Source organism: Homo sapiens, chromosome 5 (assembly GCF_000001405.40).
Source record: "Homo sapiens chromosome 5, GRCh38.p14 Primary Assembly".
In the NCBI taxonomy this organism is placed as follows: Eukaryota; Metazoa; Chordata; class Mammalia; order Primates; family Hominidae; genus Homo; species Homo sapiens.
The window spans coordinates 174,622,933-174,638,937 of record NC_000005.10 but is presented as its reverse complement, the minus strand read 5'-3'; the positions used below and the strand labels follow the sequence as shown (position 1 = coordinate 174,638,937).

Genomic DNA, 16,005 nt, shown 5'->3' with positions numbered 1-16,005 from the left:
TTAAACTTCTGACAGCCTTGAATAAAGATTTGCAGAGTCTCCCTGGTTCATTCTGCCCCCTTCCTATCCAAGCTTGACCGATGCTCTGCCCCCAGCCAAACTTGGTGGTCAGCTGAAAGGAGGGTTATCAGATTTAAAAAAATCAAATGCTGTTTACCCCTAGATAATCCATCCTAATACTGAAAATGTATTTTTTTAAATTTGAAATTCAAACTTAACTAGGCATCCTGCACTTTTATTTGCTAAATTTGAACACACTACCCCAGAAGGAAAGTGAAGGGCAACTGCCTAATTGTAAAGATTTTGGGAGGGACCCCTGATGGGGATGTAACTCGGAGGGGCAAGTGCCTCACTGCTTGAACCATGAGTGGTAATGACAATCAGAGCTGGCAGGGCTGCTCTATATATGGTGGCTGCTACATTCCCTGAGTGAATGGCGTCTCGAAGACTCACATGCACACCACCTGTGGGCTGTCAGGAACATACAGTGGCAAGTGCAAGGCCTTTTGAGTTAAACGGATTTGGGTCCAATCCCAGCTTGTTAGCGTGTAACCTTGGGAAAGCTCTGGAACCTCTCTGAGCCACTGTTTTATCATCTGCAGAGCAGGGATCATGACCACTTCCCAAAGCCCATTAAATAACAAAAGATGTGAGTGCACAGAGCGTGGTACTTGGCATTACAGTAGCCACAGGTGTTTTGCTTTGGAATATTTATAGAAAACAGAGTAGCAAAAGTGTTCTACCTTATCATAGTCAAAGGGAGCATGGGCTCATTTTGTTTTCTTATAATAAGATGTATGCTGGCTGGGCGTGGTGGCTCATGCCTGTAATCTCAACACTTTGGGAGGCCGAGATGAGCGGATCACTTGAGGTCAGGAGTTCGAGACCAGCCTGGTCAACACGGCGAAACCCCCGTCTTTACTAAAAATACAAAAATTAGCCGGATGTGTTGGTGCGCTCCTGTAGTCCCAGCTACTCGGGAGGCTGAGGCATGAGAATCACTTGAACCCAGGAGGCAGAATGAGTGGGGATTGTGCCACTGCACTCCAGCCTGGGTGAGAGAGTGAGACTGTCTCAAAAAAATAAAATAAAATAAAATAAAGATGTATGCTGTGCCATATGTTTATCGTTTAATGTTACAAACATTCTCTTCTTAAATATTCTATGTAAAGCTTGTTACGTAGATCTTATTATCACCATTTTAGAGTTCAGGAAATGGAAGTGTGAAGTGGTCAAGATCATGCAGTGGACAAAATGAAACATCAACCACAGCGTGGCAGCAGCCGTGGGAGCAGGGCCCTTCCTATGGGAATTCCTTACACTGACGTCTTTACAGATCTGGTCTCAATGGACCTCGCAACAGCCCTCTGAGGGTTGTTCTGCTCACTCCGCCTCCTGGGCTCAAGCGATTCTCTTGCCTCAGCCTCCCGAGTAACTGGGATTACAGGATCATTTTTCCTGTTAAGAGAAGAAGAACTGAAGCTCAGAGGGGAAATGGATATTTTCACAGAGCAGGGAATGTTGGGAGCAGGATTCAAACCCAGATCTCTTTGGGTACAGATCCTCAGGTCTTACCTTTGTGGTTTTTTTTGTGTTTTTTTTTTTTGAGACAGAGTCTCACTCTGTCACCCAGGCTGCAGGGCAGTGGTGCACCCGGCCTTCTGGTGGAATTTAATTGCAGGCTGTTTGATTTGTGTAACTAGATATTGTGTGTTCAGCCAGTGCTCTGTGCAGCACCATTCTAAACACTTCTCATACATTTAGTTCTCGGCCCACTGCAACCTCCGCCTCCCAGGTTCAAGCGATTCTCCTGCCTCAGCCTCCTGAATAGCTGGGATTGCAGGCATACGCCACCATGCTGGACTGATTTTTTGTATTTTTAGTAGAGACGGGGTTTCGCCATATTTTTAGTAGAGATGGGATCTTGAATTCCTGACCTTAGGCAATCCACCCACCTTGGCATCCCAAAGTGTTGGGATTACAGGCGTGAGCCACCTTGCCCGGCCCTTACCACGTATAATTGCCCCACAACACCTGAATTGTAGAGGTGACAGGTTTCAGGGGCTTTAGGGGTTGCTATGCCAGCACAGGCACCATTTCTTCTTCCAGCTGCAGACTACTCTCACTTCTTGGCATGTAGTAAGTGCTCAATAAATCTGCATTGGCGAAATGAGTGGATGCATCAGTGGAGATGTAGGGAAATGGCTTCCATGTGCAAAGCAAGAATTTTCTGAGTCTTCAGCCATCTCGAGAAGAAAATTAATGTAGGAGAAACAGGTCTATGTCACCCAAGGTGCAGTTTTAAATGTTTGGCAACAAAATGGAGACCCCTAGGCATTGACTCTTAGAGACTTGCGCTATGGCATACGTGCAGCCCAAATCCAGCTTTCCTGGAGAGTGGGATGTCAGGCTGGTAGCTTCATCTGTTCCCCGGGCATTCTGGCCCACATTGACAAGATGATTGAGTTAATTCAGAATGCCCTAACAAGCATTCTTCAGGCACGTTCAGGACTCAGAGCGGGGGCCTGTAGCCAGATACCTTTGCAAGGTGCAGGATTTAGGGCCAGAGTGGCTGGTTGAGGTAGAGGTGTTGTGAAACCTCAGAACAGTCTGTTCCAGCAAAAAAAAAAACCACGTGTAGCCAGTCAGTCAGGATTCCTCTGCATCCTGCAGAGGACAAACAAAACTGAGAAAGCCCAGCTGAGCTACACAGACGGGAGGGTGGCAGGGCCGCCTAGCTGATCCTCCTCTTCCTATGTGAGCCCAGGAGTGGCTTCTTGTCCTGGCCTTGACTGTGTGGCCCTAATGTGGCACCACCCATCATGGGCCAAGGTCGGGCCATCTTTAGAAGATATTCTGGAGCAATTGCTTCCTAATATATCTAGCTCAGACGTGGTAACCCAACTGAAAAGCCCTCAAAGGAGGAGGGAGTGGACATTTAATCAGTGCCAGCTGTGTGCCAGGTGGTGTAACCAGCAACCCTCTGGTTGTCCTAACTGGCTTTTAAGTAACCACTGCCCTCAGCTTTGGACCACCTGCACTGGGGAAAGTCAGTGCCAGCTGTGTGCCAGGTGGTGTAACCAGCAACCCTCTGGTTGTCCTAACTGGCTTTTAAGTAGCCACTGCCCTCAGCTTTGGACCACCTGCACTGGGGAAAGTCAGAGAGAGGAGTAGATTCGCCTTCCCAGAAGCAATGCAGGAGCCAGACACACTAACGCTCCCTAGGACCTACCTGGCCCTTGACCTTCTCTATTTTTCAGATGATGAAATTGAGGTGCACAGAGGGGCCGGAGCAAAGCTCGGCCCTACCCACTGTAGGCTGGAGTAAGGCCTCAGCCCAGCACACAAGGCCCCCAGTGACCCGCGTTCTGCACGGTGACCATACCCACTCCCCTCCACCTGTTTTGGACGGGGATCCTTGAACTGCGCTCACCATGGCTATATGGTACGCAGCCTGCTGCCCTCTGCCATTGCACCCGCTGTGCCCTCTGCTCGGCCTGCCTTTCCTCTCTCCCTATCACTCCAGTCACTGAGTTCCAATTCACACAGCCTGACCCAGCTCAAAAGCGCTGGTCACTGCTGTGGAGAAATTCTCCATGATGCCCGGCTCCCTTGCCCCTAACCTTGCAGAGACCGTCACCCTCTCATGGATGACCTCACAGTTCCTAAAGTAAGACTTTTTTCCTTTATGACATTTAAAAGATTGTTTTTGTTATCATCAAAAGAAATGATAAATTATACAATTCTCATGAAACTCCAGTATCCTCAGGGATAAATCTCAGCGTCCAGCAAGCATGTCATACTGCAGTTGTTGTTTGCAGCTTGTCCCTGTTCTAGACCTCAGGCTCCTTGTGGGCAGGGCCATGTGGGGTGCCCCTGGCATCTCAGCATTCCTCCTGCCCAACGTAGAACTGGATCCAGGGGCTGCACCCAGCACGTGCTTGTGCAATAAACCAAGAAACAAGTGAGCAAGAAACTCGATAAAACCCATGTGAAATGACTTGCGTCGGGGCTGGAGCTCAGGTGTCCTGACTCCGGGCCCAGCACAGGTTGCACTCCATGGCCCTGCCTGGCCTCTGTGGTGTACTCCCTATCTAGGGGTGCATTCCGCCAGGCTGCTGGTCTTCCCAGATTTCCAATTTACATCTGAGCTAATTTTCCTGGGGGGCAATGAATGGTTCTGGTGCAAAGCAGTCCTTGAGAGTTCTTTTTTTGTTCCTTGCTCCTTTTATTAATATTTAATTTTTTATCATTTCCCATGACAGTTCATATTATAAACCAAGATTAAATGCACGTAAATGAAAACGTACTCTATATAGCACCACAGCATTACTATAAAGACCTTTTTTTTTTTTTGATATGGTCATTTACTTTTTTTTTTTTTTTGAGATGGAGTCTCACTCTGTCACCCAGGCTGCAGTGCAGTGGCACGATCATGGCTCACTGCAACTTCCACCTCCCGGGTTCAAGCAGTTTTCCTGCCTCAGCCTCCTGAGTAGCTGGGACTACAAGCGCCTGCTACCACACCTGGCTAATTTTTGTATTTTTACTAGAGACAGGGTTTCACCATGTTGGCCAGGCTGGCCTTGAACTCCTGAACTCAGGTTATCCACCCACCTTGGCCTCCCAAAGTGTTGGGATTACAGGCATGAGCCACCACACCCGGCAGGTTATTTACTTTAATAACAACACGTATACCATATTATCACCATGGAAGGTAAATTCAGTTAGACAAGAGAATTTCACAAGTGAAATAGCGTTCTGTAGTATATAAAAGTTTGGGTATAGGCCGGGCGTGGTGGCTCACGCCTGTAATCCCAGCACTTTGGGAGGCCGAGGCGGGCGGATCACAAGGTCAAGAGATAGAGACCATCCTGGCTAACACGGTGAAACCCCGTGTCTATTAAAAATACAAAAAATTAGCCGGGCGTGGTGGCGGGCGCCTGTAGTCCCAGCTACTCCGGAGGCTGAGGCAGGAGAATGGCGTGAACCCGGGAGGCGGAGCTTGCAGTGAGCCGAGATGGCGCCACTGCAGTCCAGCCTGGGCGATAGAGCGAGACTCTGTCTCAAAAAAAAAAAAAAAAAAAAAATTTATTCTAATATAACATCAGCAGAAAAACTAGAATGCATAAGTTATTCTCATGTTTACAACTGTGATTCTTTAATGAATACTGCTATTATGCAGCTCTATTGTAAGCTTTCTAGATCTGGTTTAAACATACACGTATATATTGTCAGTTGTGGGAAGGTTTACAAATTATATTCCATGCACTTTGTGGACAGAGTTCTAAAAGAGCCAGCCAGTCCACAAAACAGGCAGAAAAAAGTTAAATTAACTGGGGCAAATAGGACTCTTACGTAACATCCAAAATATGTGAGATTCTGCAGCAAACTGGGAGTACTACAGGGTTGGCTTGTTATCTTCTTTAGAACGAAGTTCATCTTGACAATTTAAGAAGGTGGACATTTCAACAGCATCAAGTGCATTTAGGTGACATACTTCTTTTAAGTTAACTTGACTTCCTTGAAGGACCTAGTTAGTAAACTAATCAGTAGTCATTTGGTCACCAGGCAAATCAAGCTTTCAAGAAAGGAAGCCAATATTCAAAATGCTGTGTTACCATCTAAACCCACACAAATTAGTTTATTTTCAACAATACATAACTTGAGTAATGAGACGTCTAACTAAAGCAAGCTCCTCCAACAAGACCAAGACAGCATCTCTTCTTTAAGGCTTAGGTTTTGCCCAGAATTCCTGATACATGGAATAGCCCATAACAACAGTCATTGCTCCTGCAACACAGCCTTGGGCTGCCACACGCATGTGGATCGGATGAAGGGACATTTTAGCATTTCCCCTGCTCTTCAATTTGTATAATCCATATGCAACAATTGCTGCAACACCTGCCATTCCAATGGGTACGAATGGGCCTCTTTGGCTCTTCAAATAAGTTTGGATCCCTGATCTTCATTATATGAAGAAAGGGAAACATCTGTGTCTGTTGATATAGTGATTGCTTGAAGACTCTCCCTAGAGCGAGAAAACCTCTCACGACAACTGGCTTCTGATCCCCACCCGCGCGCCCAGTCCTGCCGGCTTCTCCTATAAAGACCTTTTTAATATAGACAAATTAGTTGCTAAATTCAGAAACCGAAGTTACATTTCTGGATATCTCTTGTAGCCGAAGAATAAAAGGTTTTTAGAATCAGTAAAGATTTTATTATAAGCCTGTTATTAGCTTTCCCTTACTAGCAATTAAGGTTCGCAGGAGAGGGAGAGGTCAGGGACAATGGCAAGGACCCAGATGCAGGCATCCAGGATGGTCTGGGCTCAAACTCAAGCCTCTGCCACTTCCCAGCCAGGTGACTTTGGGTTAAGATCTCTTCCCCATGACTCTCTGAGTCCATTTCCATCAGATGGGAAAGGCCACCAGGACCTTGCTCAGCTATTACGGGGAGGATTCATTAGACTAAGGTTTGTACTAGGGCTAGTGCACATATATTCAAAGCTAACTAAATACTGGTCATTTTTAATTAATGCTTATATGAGTTAGCCAAAAAAACTACTTGACCAAAGTGAATTCGAACAAACATGCAATTTGGAAGAAAGCTAAGAACAACTTAGCCAAAACAAAAATACCATTGAAAAGCAATATCCCCAGTAGTAAGCATTTGAAACACTGCAAATTTGTCTTCCTCTATGCAAAGCATTTCTGTATTTTTCCCAAAGATTTTCTATTGTCTTTCAATTGTATTTCTTTTCTTTTTTTTTTTTTAGACAGAGTCTCGCTCTGTCGCCCAGGCTGGAGTGCAGTGGCACAATATCAGCTCACTGAAAGCTCTGCCTTCCAGGATCACGCCATTCTCCTGCCTCAGCCTCCCAAGTAGCTGGGACTACAGGTGCCTGCCAACACGCCCGGCTAATTTTTTGTATTTTTAGTACAGACAAGGTTTCACCCTGTTAGCCAGGATGGTCTTGATCTCCTGACCTCGTGATATGCTCACCTTGGCCTCCCAAAGTGCTGGGATTACAGGTGTGAGCCACTGCGCCTGGCCTGAATTTATTTTCAATAATTTTTTTCTTGCTCTTCATTGTAATGGGAAAACTTAGGACACAATAACTGTTCATTAATAAGAAAACAACTTAAATGGCCAAGAAAAGAGAAAATGCTTGAGACAATCTCTCCTACTAAGGTGATTTAAGTGAATTATGGAATCTCACAGAATAGTATATATAGCACAAGCTCGTTTTTTAAATTTTATTTATTTTTTTTATTTTTTTGAGACAGAGTCTTGCCTTGTCACCCAGGCTGGAGTACAATGGCATGATTTCAGCTCACTGCAATCTCTGCCTCCCAGGTTCAAGCGATTCTCCTGCCTTAGCCTCCCAAGTAGCTGAGACTACAGGCGCCCACCACCATGACTGGCTAATTTTTGTATTTTTAGTAGAGATGGGGTTTCACTATGTTGGCCAGGCTGGTCTCGAACTCCTGACCTTGGGATCCACCCACCTTGGCCTGCCAAAGTGCTGGGATTACAGGCATGAGCCACCGCACCTGGCCAGCATGAACTCATTTTTGAAAAACACTGTGTCTACAATAAAAGGGCACGGCAACATCCTGGCCAGGCACAGTGGCTCACTCCTGTAATCCCAGCACTTTGGGAGGCTGAGGCGGGCGGATCACTTGAGGTCAGGAGTTTGAGATCAGCCTGGGCAACACGGCGAAACCCTGTCTCTACTAAAAATACAAAATTAGCCGGGCATGGTGGCACATGCCTGTAATCCCAGCTACACGGGAGGCTGAGGCAGGAGAATCGCTTGAACCTGGGAGGTGGAGGATGCAGTGAGCCGAGATCGTGCCACTGCACTCCACCCTGGCAAAAGAGCAAGACTCTGGCAACAAGAGTAAATCTCTGTCTCACCAAAAAAAAAAAAAGGCACACACGGCGACATCCACATCAAAGGACTGCGAGTGGGTGGATAACGGGGTGGGACTATGGGGGCTCCTTTTGCTTATTTTGCTTTCTTTCTATTTTACTATTTCTGAGATGAGAGTGCATTACATTTGCTTTAGGAAATAGAGTAAAAGACAAAGCTCAAAAATTTTTTCAGGCCGGGCGTGGTGGCTCACGCCCGTAATCCCAGAACTTTGGGAAGCTGAGGTGGAAGAATCGCTTGAGCCCAGGAGTTCAAGACCAGCCTGGGCAACATAGTGAGACCTTGTCTCTAAAAAAATTTAGTCTTTCGATTAATTTTTTTAACATTAAAATATCTCATTTGTTTCAATCCAATTCTACTTTTTCTGCCTTTTTGATATTTTAAAATGTTTTCAAACAGGGATAAAAAAAATTAAAGTTGTTCCCCAGTCTGTGAAATGGGAATAATTATATCTACCTTGAATGGTGATTACAAAAGTTAAGTGAGATGTTTTCTTTACAATTTCTTGCATAGTCCCAGGCACATAATAGGTCCTCAGTAAGCAGTGACCAATGATTCTTCTCTTGTGGACATTGGACGTGTCCTTTTTTTTTTTTTTTTTTTTTTTTTAAGACAGAGTTTCACTCTTTTTGCCCAGGCTGGAGTGCAGTGCTGCGATCTCGGCTCACTGCAACCTCCACCTCCTGGGTTCAAGTGATTCCCCTGCCTCAGCCTCCCGAGTAGCTGGGATTACAGGTGCATGCCACCACACCAGACTAATTTTGTATTTTTAGTAGAGATGAGGTTTTGCCATGTTGGCCAAGCTGGTCTCAAACTCCTGCCCTCAGGTGATCCACCCGCCTCGGCCTCCCTAAGTGCTGGGATTGCGGGCATGAGCCACCGCGCCCGACCAACACTGGATGTGTTCTAACAGGTCTTTGTGGTTGGACATTCATTTTGCCTCTTCTTTGGCCTGCAGGTTGTTTTGGTGAATTCTCCTGGGTGGACATTAGGGGGTTCTCTCATCACTTTTACTTGGAGACCTGTGATATATTTCTTTTCTTTTCTTTTCTTTTCTTTTCTTTTCTTTTCTTTTCTTTTCTTTTCTTTTCTTTTCTTTTCCTTTCCTTTCCTTTCCTTTCCTTTCCTTTCCTTTCCTTTCCTTTCCTTTCTTTTCTTTTCTTTTCTTTTCTTTTCTATCTTTTTTGAGACGGAGTCTCGCTCTTTTGCCCAGGCAGGACTGCAGTGGCGCTATCTCGGCTCACTGCAAGCTCCACCTCCCGGGTTCATGCCATTCTCCTGCCTCAGCCTCCCGAGTAGCTGGGACTACAGGCGCCCGCCACCACGCCCGGCTAATTTTTTTGTATTTTTAGTAGAGACGGGGTTTCACCGTGTTAGCCAGGATGGTCTCGATCTCCTGACTTCGTGATCCGCCCGCCTCGGCCTCCCAAAGTGCTGGGATTACAGGCGTGAGCTACCGTGCCCGGCGCCTGTGATATATTTCTAAGCGATCACTGTCCTTCCACTCCCAGCCCACTTCCCATTCCAGGCTATTCTTCACACAACAGCCAGAACTGCTCCTTTTGGAATTTGAATGGGATCGTGTTGGTTTGCAATCCTCCAAAGGCTTTCTAACATTTTTGAGACTGTGGTCTGCAAGCCCCTGTGCTCAGGCCCTGGCTGCTTCCTCAGGCTCACGTCCTGCCTTGGTTCTCCCTTGTTCCCTGTGGACCACCTGCTCTGATCTAACTGCTCTCCAACACACCAAGGCTGCTCTACCTCAGGGTCTTTGCATGTCTCGTCCCCTGTGAGGAACATCCCAGCAGTGCATGAAAGCATCTGCTCAATTTCCCCTCCCCTAATCTAGGCCTTCCTTGACTGCCCTCTCTGAGGTCATACCCCTTTTCCCTCTATCTCTTTGCCTCTCTTCCTGGCATTTACTACATGATATTAAATATTTATGTATCTATTTGATGCTCTCTTTCTCTCACCAAAATGTGAGCTTCCCAAGGAGATAGACTTTGTCCGCTTTGTTCACACCTGTTTGTCCATCCGGGACTTAGAAGGACACCTATCACCAGACTTTCGGTAAGCATTTGTTGAATGAATGAATAAAATAAGTGAATGAAGTATGTCCTTAATCTCGGCTACAAATAGTTAAGTAGGAATACTCTCCTGAAAATTGGTTAGAAATAAACAACTTTGGCCGGGTGCGGTGGCTCACGCCTGTAATCCCAGCACTTCGGGAGGCCGAGGCGGGCAGATCACAAGGTCAGGAGATGGAGACCAGGGTGAAACCCTGTCTCTACTAAAAATACAAAAAATTAGCCAGGCGTGGTGGCGGGTGCCTGTAGTCCCAGCTACTCGGGAGGCTGAGGCAGGAGAATGGCGTGAACCCGGGAGGCAGAGCTTGCAGTGAACTGAGATCTCACCACTGCACTCCAGCCTGGGCAATAGAGCGAGACTCCGTCTCAAAAAAAAAAAAAAAAAAAAGAAATAAACAACTTTAACCTCCCAAAGAGGAAACAACCCCTGAAACATGGTTGAGATTCTTAAAGAATTCCAACCACTTGCCATACCACCCACTGATGCATGGAAGTGAGTAATAGTTGGCCAGGCACGGTGGCTCACACCTGTAATCCCAACACTTTGAGAGGCCAAGGTGGGTGGATCACCTAAGGTGGATCACCTAAGGTCAGGAGTTTGAGACCAGCCTGGTCAACATAGTGAAACCCCATCTCTACTAATAATACAAAAATTAGCTGGGCATGGTGGTGCACGCCTGTAATCTCAGCTACTTGGGAGGCTGAGGCAGGAGAATCGCTTGAACCCAGGAGGCAGAGATTGCAGTGAGCCGAGATTGCACCACTGCACTCCAACCTCGGCAACAGAGCGAGACTCCATCTCAATAAATAAATAAATAAATAAATAAATAAATAAATAAAATAAAATAAAATTAGTGGTAGTTGACAAATAGGAAACAAGGATATTCATTTCCAACCAATCATCATTTTGACCAATTATCAGGTCGACCAACTTGCTTGTGGCCAGGCTCTCTTTCAGCCATGTCCCCTGGGATCAGTGTGAAGGTGTGGCCCCAGAAATGACTCAAGCTTGGGAGCCCTTGGAGAGCGTCTAATGCTGCTCACCCCACTCCAGGAGGGCAAAGTCCAGATTCTCCAGATCTGGGGGTCAGGCTGTATTTCTGTGGGAAAACCGCCCTTTCCGTCCCACTTCAGCTCCACCTGGCGTGTCCCAGTTCAGAATGACCCCTTGTCTCCCAGAGGTGTATAGGGTACCCATACCTTCATTCCCAGAAAGGTGTGAAGAGTCAGTTTTGAGAATGGCAAGGGAAATTTTCTGTGGGAAGAAGAAAGGCTAGGGTGAGGTGGAAGAGCGTCATGGAAAGGGATAGGTGGAGAAGCTGGGAGGATTCTTTGGTCCAGTTTCCATTGTATATTTTGGAAGTGATTGTGAGTGTGTGTGCGTGACAGAGAGGGAGTGAGAGCCCACCTGTGTGCTTCTGTATAAATGTGGGTGTGTTTTTGTGTCTGGGTCTGTTGAGTGTTCCTCTGGGCATCTTATGGTCATCTGCTTGTTACGTGCATGTCTCTGTGTGTGTGATTGTGTCTGTGGGTTTGTGTCTGTCTGTCTGCTTACTCACGTGTCCTTTTGGTTAGCTCTCTCTCAGTGCGTGCAGGTGTATAAGACTTGAAGCTGGTGTTGGGGTGAGGGGCGGGGAATCACTTCTACAGACAAACCAATGTGAGTCCAGCCTTCGCCTCTGCTTGCTGGAACTCTTCAGAAAGTTTGTGCCTGATTTGGAAGAAGCTGGGGAGATGGACAAGACACGGCGTTACATCGAGCCATAAGGGAGTGACAGGCTGGGTCTGGGAGTTGCAGCTGGAAAAACAGCATGAAATGAAGTGTCCGAACCCTTCTCCGTGTCCAACCAGAGACTCTCATGTAGGTCTCCAGACTCCTGAGCATGATCCACAGGGGCCGCCTGATGGGTCACTGATGAGCTCTTACTACCCTGCCCTGTGCTTTCCACAGCTTCCCAAATACCCTCTGCTCTTCCAGACTTAGATCTTTGCTGCAGACATGGCTTTGTCCTTCAGAACTTTGCTTACACAGCCTCTCCTTCCTACTTCCCCAACACTCAGCCTCCCTTGCCTGTATCCCCATAGGCCTGGCCACCCTTGCATCTGTGCACTTCCATCCTTGCTGCTCCACTCTCACCCCAGCAGGCCTGGGAGCTCCTTGAACACAGGGTCCTGGCTTATCTGATTTTGTATAATCAGAGCCCAGCACTTGGCTTAATGTAAGTAGAATATGTCAACTCGGCACAGGGAGGGAGTGGGCTGAGCCTAGCAGACTTGGGTTCCAGCCCTGTTCTGTCACGAGCTGACATGGTCCATGTCTTGCACTTGTTGGGCCTCATTTCATCCCCTGGGAGGAAGAAGAGGAGGTGGAGAGCACACGAACCACTCGCACACATGGCCCTCAGCAAATGGCTCTCGTGATTGTACAGGCTTACATAGAACACTGTTTTTCTTCTATCCTCAAAATTACCCCCTAGAAAAAAGGGAGTTGTCTTTTGTCTTGAGCTCTTGCAAAGTGCTTCGTTTTTACGAAGAACCCTCTCAATTGCTTTATTTTGAACAGCAAAGAAATGTTTGGGGAATGTACATTAGCCTAAAACCACCTCAAACAACATGGGCTTAGAATTCTTAAAGAGATAATCTGACAGAATCTGTAAGAAAAGGAGTCAGAAACATTTTACACAGATTTAGCAATTCTTCCTCGGGGTATGACCTCAAATTACAAGTGCTGGATGTCATGGCAAATAAGCCTTTTAAAGCTCGGCTTGAAAAAGCAATGCTGAGTGGTTCTTTTGTGGAGAGCACGAATATACACACACCCACAGAATGAATACAAATCCCGACTGTGCTCATGTCATGCAAATGGGATGGAGACCTTGTTTCCAGCGACAGCCTCAGATGTGGAAGCAAAAAGTGCTGGATCTCAGGGCAGTCAGATGGAAGAGAGGAGAAAGGTCTGAAAAACGAAACTGCACAATGCAAAATGTGGCTCTGTGGAGCAGACGCTTTAAAAATTTCCAAAATTTTTTTATTATTTTATTTTATTTTTTAGAGATGAGGTGTCACCCTGTCGCCCAGGCTGAAGTGTAGTGGTGCAATCATATCTCACTGCAGCCTTGAATTCCTGGCCTCATGCCATCTTCCCTCCTCGGCCTCCTTATGTGTGGCAAAGAATGGAGTAAAGCTGTTTCATGCAACACGTATATGGAGAAAAGTGATGTTTCTAAATGAATATTATTGTAAAATTATAAGTAATTTTCTGTTTATTTCTACGTTGCACAACTGAGCTAATAAATTGAATAACCAGGACTTTGCCTAGTTTATTGCCATCCCCAAAAGTTTATATATTCAACCAGGTCCAACCACATGTTTTTTTTTTTTTTTTGGTTCTTTGAATTAGGAATGGAAGGGATTGCTTTATCTTTGGGCATATGCAGGAGACTGAGCTTTTAAACCCTAATGAGAATTGACAAGAAGCTGAGTATCTGCGACCCAGTTTGAAGATTTTTTTTTTCCTCTTAGATTTGTCTTTGTGTTTGGAGAAAGATAAAGAGGAACATTGAGAAAATGCTCTCCTAAGGAAGAAAGGAGAGAATTCCAGAGGAGTTGCACAAACACTGTCATGACATGGGAGAATCAGCTGCTTTCTAAGATGAGAAAGACAACTACGGCTCCATCTATTGGATACTCACCACGAAACTAGCATCATTCCGAGCACGTTTCCTAAATTACTGTTTCCCCTAATCCTACTTATAAAGTAGGCATTATTATTATTTGCGCTTTACAGATAAAGAAACTGAGGTTTTTAGAACTTGCCCAAGTCCCACAGATAGGACTTGCTGAAGCTAGAATTAAGAACCAGGCCTGACCTCTTAATCACCGCCTTGTAGCAGCTCTTCTGAACATTTCCTACTGTTTGCGCAAAGTGATTACATCAGAAAGGCAGGAAAGTGTTCTAGGGAGGAACTGTAACTCAATTCCTCTGGTCACTCCTCGTTTGCTGGGCTTTGTGGATCTTCCCACATATTTCATCACTAGAGAGCTGGGGCCTCAAAGCCGAATGCATAGGGAGGCCATGAATGCAATGGAGAGGAGTGAAGGGGCCGGGGCAAGCAATCGGGAGAGGTGGGGGCTGTGGAAAAACAGAGTGCCCATCCCTCTCTCAAGGTGGGCAGAGATACTGCTCCAGCCCATTGTTGTCATTCAAATCATGGTCCCACTATGACCAGGTCTTCAAATATTTTCAGATAGACAGCCAGATTTTTGAGTGAAGGGTTATATTTAAGAGTTGATCGCTAGCTCAGGTGAGTTTTTCCAAACCCATGTAGAACGGACAAAACACATGCAGTGCTGGAGCTGCCACTTGAGCTGCTGCATTGCCACCTCTGTGTCTGGACACTGCTCTACCATGAGGCAGGTGGGATAGTGCTGGCGTCAGCATCCTAAACCATAGATTCACATCCCACCACTGCCCCTATGTACCTGGGTAGCCTTCCCGAGCTTCAGTTTTCCTGTCTGTAAAATGGGAAACACTGATCGTCCTTACTTTATGGTTTGTTGAGAAGAGCAAGAACACACTCGAGTGTCTGACTGACATGGCAAACCTACTGTGTTTCTGGCTAATTCTCGTTTCCCTGCCTCCTGTCACCTGTACTGCCTCCACAGTCTCCCTGATTGGAGCACCATTATCTTCTTTCTGCCCCGTCTGGCAGAAGTGCAGACATCTTCTTTGAGCCCTGTTTTTGTTTTTTGATTTTGTTTTGTTTTTAAAAGACTCTGCTTTCAGAGCTTTCCATTGGCTGGCTCCTTCTTGCTCACATGCCACCTCTTCGGAGGGCGGGGGCAGTCTACCTTTTTTGATGTTGCCACCTGTCTCCCATGGCACATCATCGTCACGCTGCTACCACATTGCTTTTTCAGTAGCCTCATCATGATCGTGTTTATTTACTTGTTTCAGAGTTTATTGCCTGTTTTCCCAAGTAGAGCAAGAACCTCACGGGTCTTTGTTCACTGTTGATTGCCAGCACCCAGAAGACTTGGCACATAATAGGCCCTCAATGGATGTCCGCTGAATAAGTGAATGTGTGCCGAGTGCTGTGTAAATATGAGATACAATATGATACCATGGCCATTAGGAGCTGTTTCGTTAGACAGCAGAAAGGAGAGAGGCTACTTAGAGAGGGCTCTGGGGCTTGCCTGGAATCTTGCTTTAAATCAGCATCAGGTCATGCCTATTCCTTGCTCTTTTACCCAGTAAAATGTTTTTGCTTGAGAAGCTATTACAGAGATAGAGATAATGCCTCCTGGAACACAGATAGAATCAGAAATACAGAATTACACTTTAAGCCGGCTGAAGAGCTCACAAAATCAGGCAAGCCAGCCTGGGGAAGGTGGGGAGGCTGGAATCAGGGAAGGATGAAAGAGGAAGGGGACATCTTAGGGATGTCCAGGGCCCTGCTATCTGAGGAGGGAGCAACTGGCACTTTAACCCATTCCCTTCCTTCTCTTTTCCAACATTGGGGTCTCAGATTTTAGATTGTTTGAAAGACCCCTCGCTATCTTCTGGCCTCTTGCAGTTTGGGGATGTGACTAACACCCCTTCTCAATGTTCTGTTAGTCTTTCTGAGTACCTAAAAAGAAAGTTTGGATTGTTGCTACTTTGTCCTTAATACTGCCTCTGAAATTTGCTGACCTAGCTTTTGACCAGATTCTGCTGGGGCAGGAGTGTCTAGTGAGACTTAAAAGTTGTTTACTTTGACAATTTGTCTCTGCCTATGACAGGTGCCACTTCCATTTCCATTAGTGAGCAAAAGTTTCCTTTTATTTATTTATTTATTTATTTTTTGAGACAGAGTCTTGCTTTGTTGCCCAGGCTGGACTGCAGTGGTGTGATCTCAGCTCACTGCAACCTCTGCCTCCCGGGTTCAAGCAATTCTTCTGCCTCAGCCTCCCGAGTAGGTGGGACTACAGGCACGTGCCACC

The 16,005-nt window shown here is 46.2% G+C and overlaps 1 pseudogene, besides 1 other annotated feature; it reads right to left on the bottom strand.

The window, feature by feature from the left end:
- Positions 1-5,531: 5,531 nt before the first annotated feature.
- HIGD1AP3 (HIG1 hypoxia inducible domain family member 1A pseudogene 3) lies at positions 5,532-6,104 on the bottom strand (annotated as a pseudogene).
- Positions 8,764-8,991: a silencer, noted in NCBI's record as "fragment chr5:174056950-174057177 (GRCh37/hg19 assembly coordinates)". NCBI's record gives its function as "represses an EF-1alpha promoter that drives an FKBP-Casp9 reporter gene in an ReSE screen in HepG2 liver carcinoma cells and K562 erythroleukemia cells {active_cell/tissue: HepG2 | K562}" and the evidence as "EXISTENCE:reporter gene assay evidence [ECO:0000049][PMID:32094911]".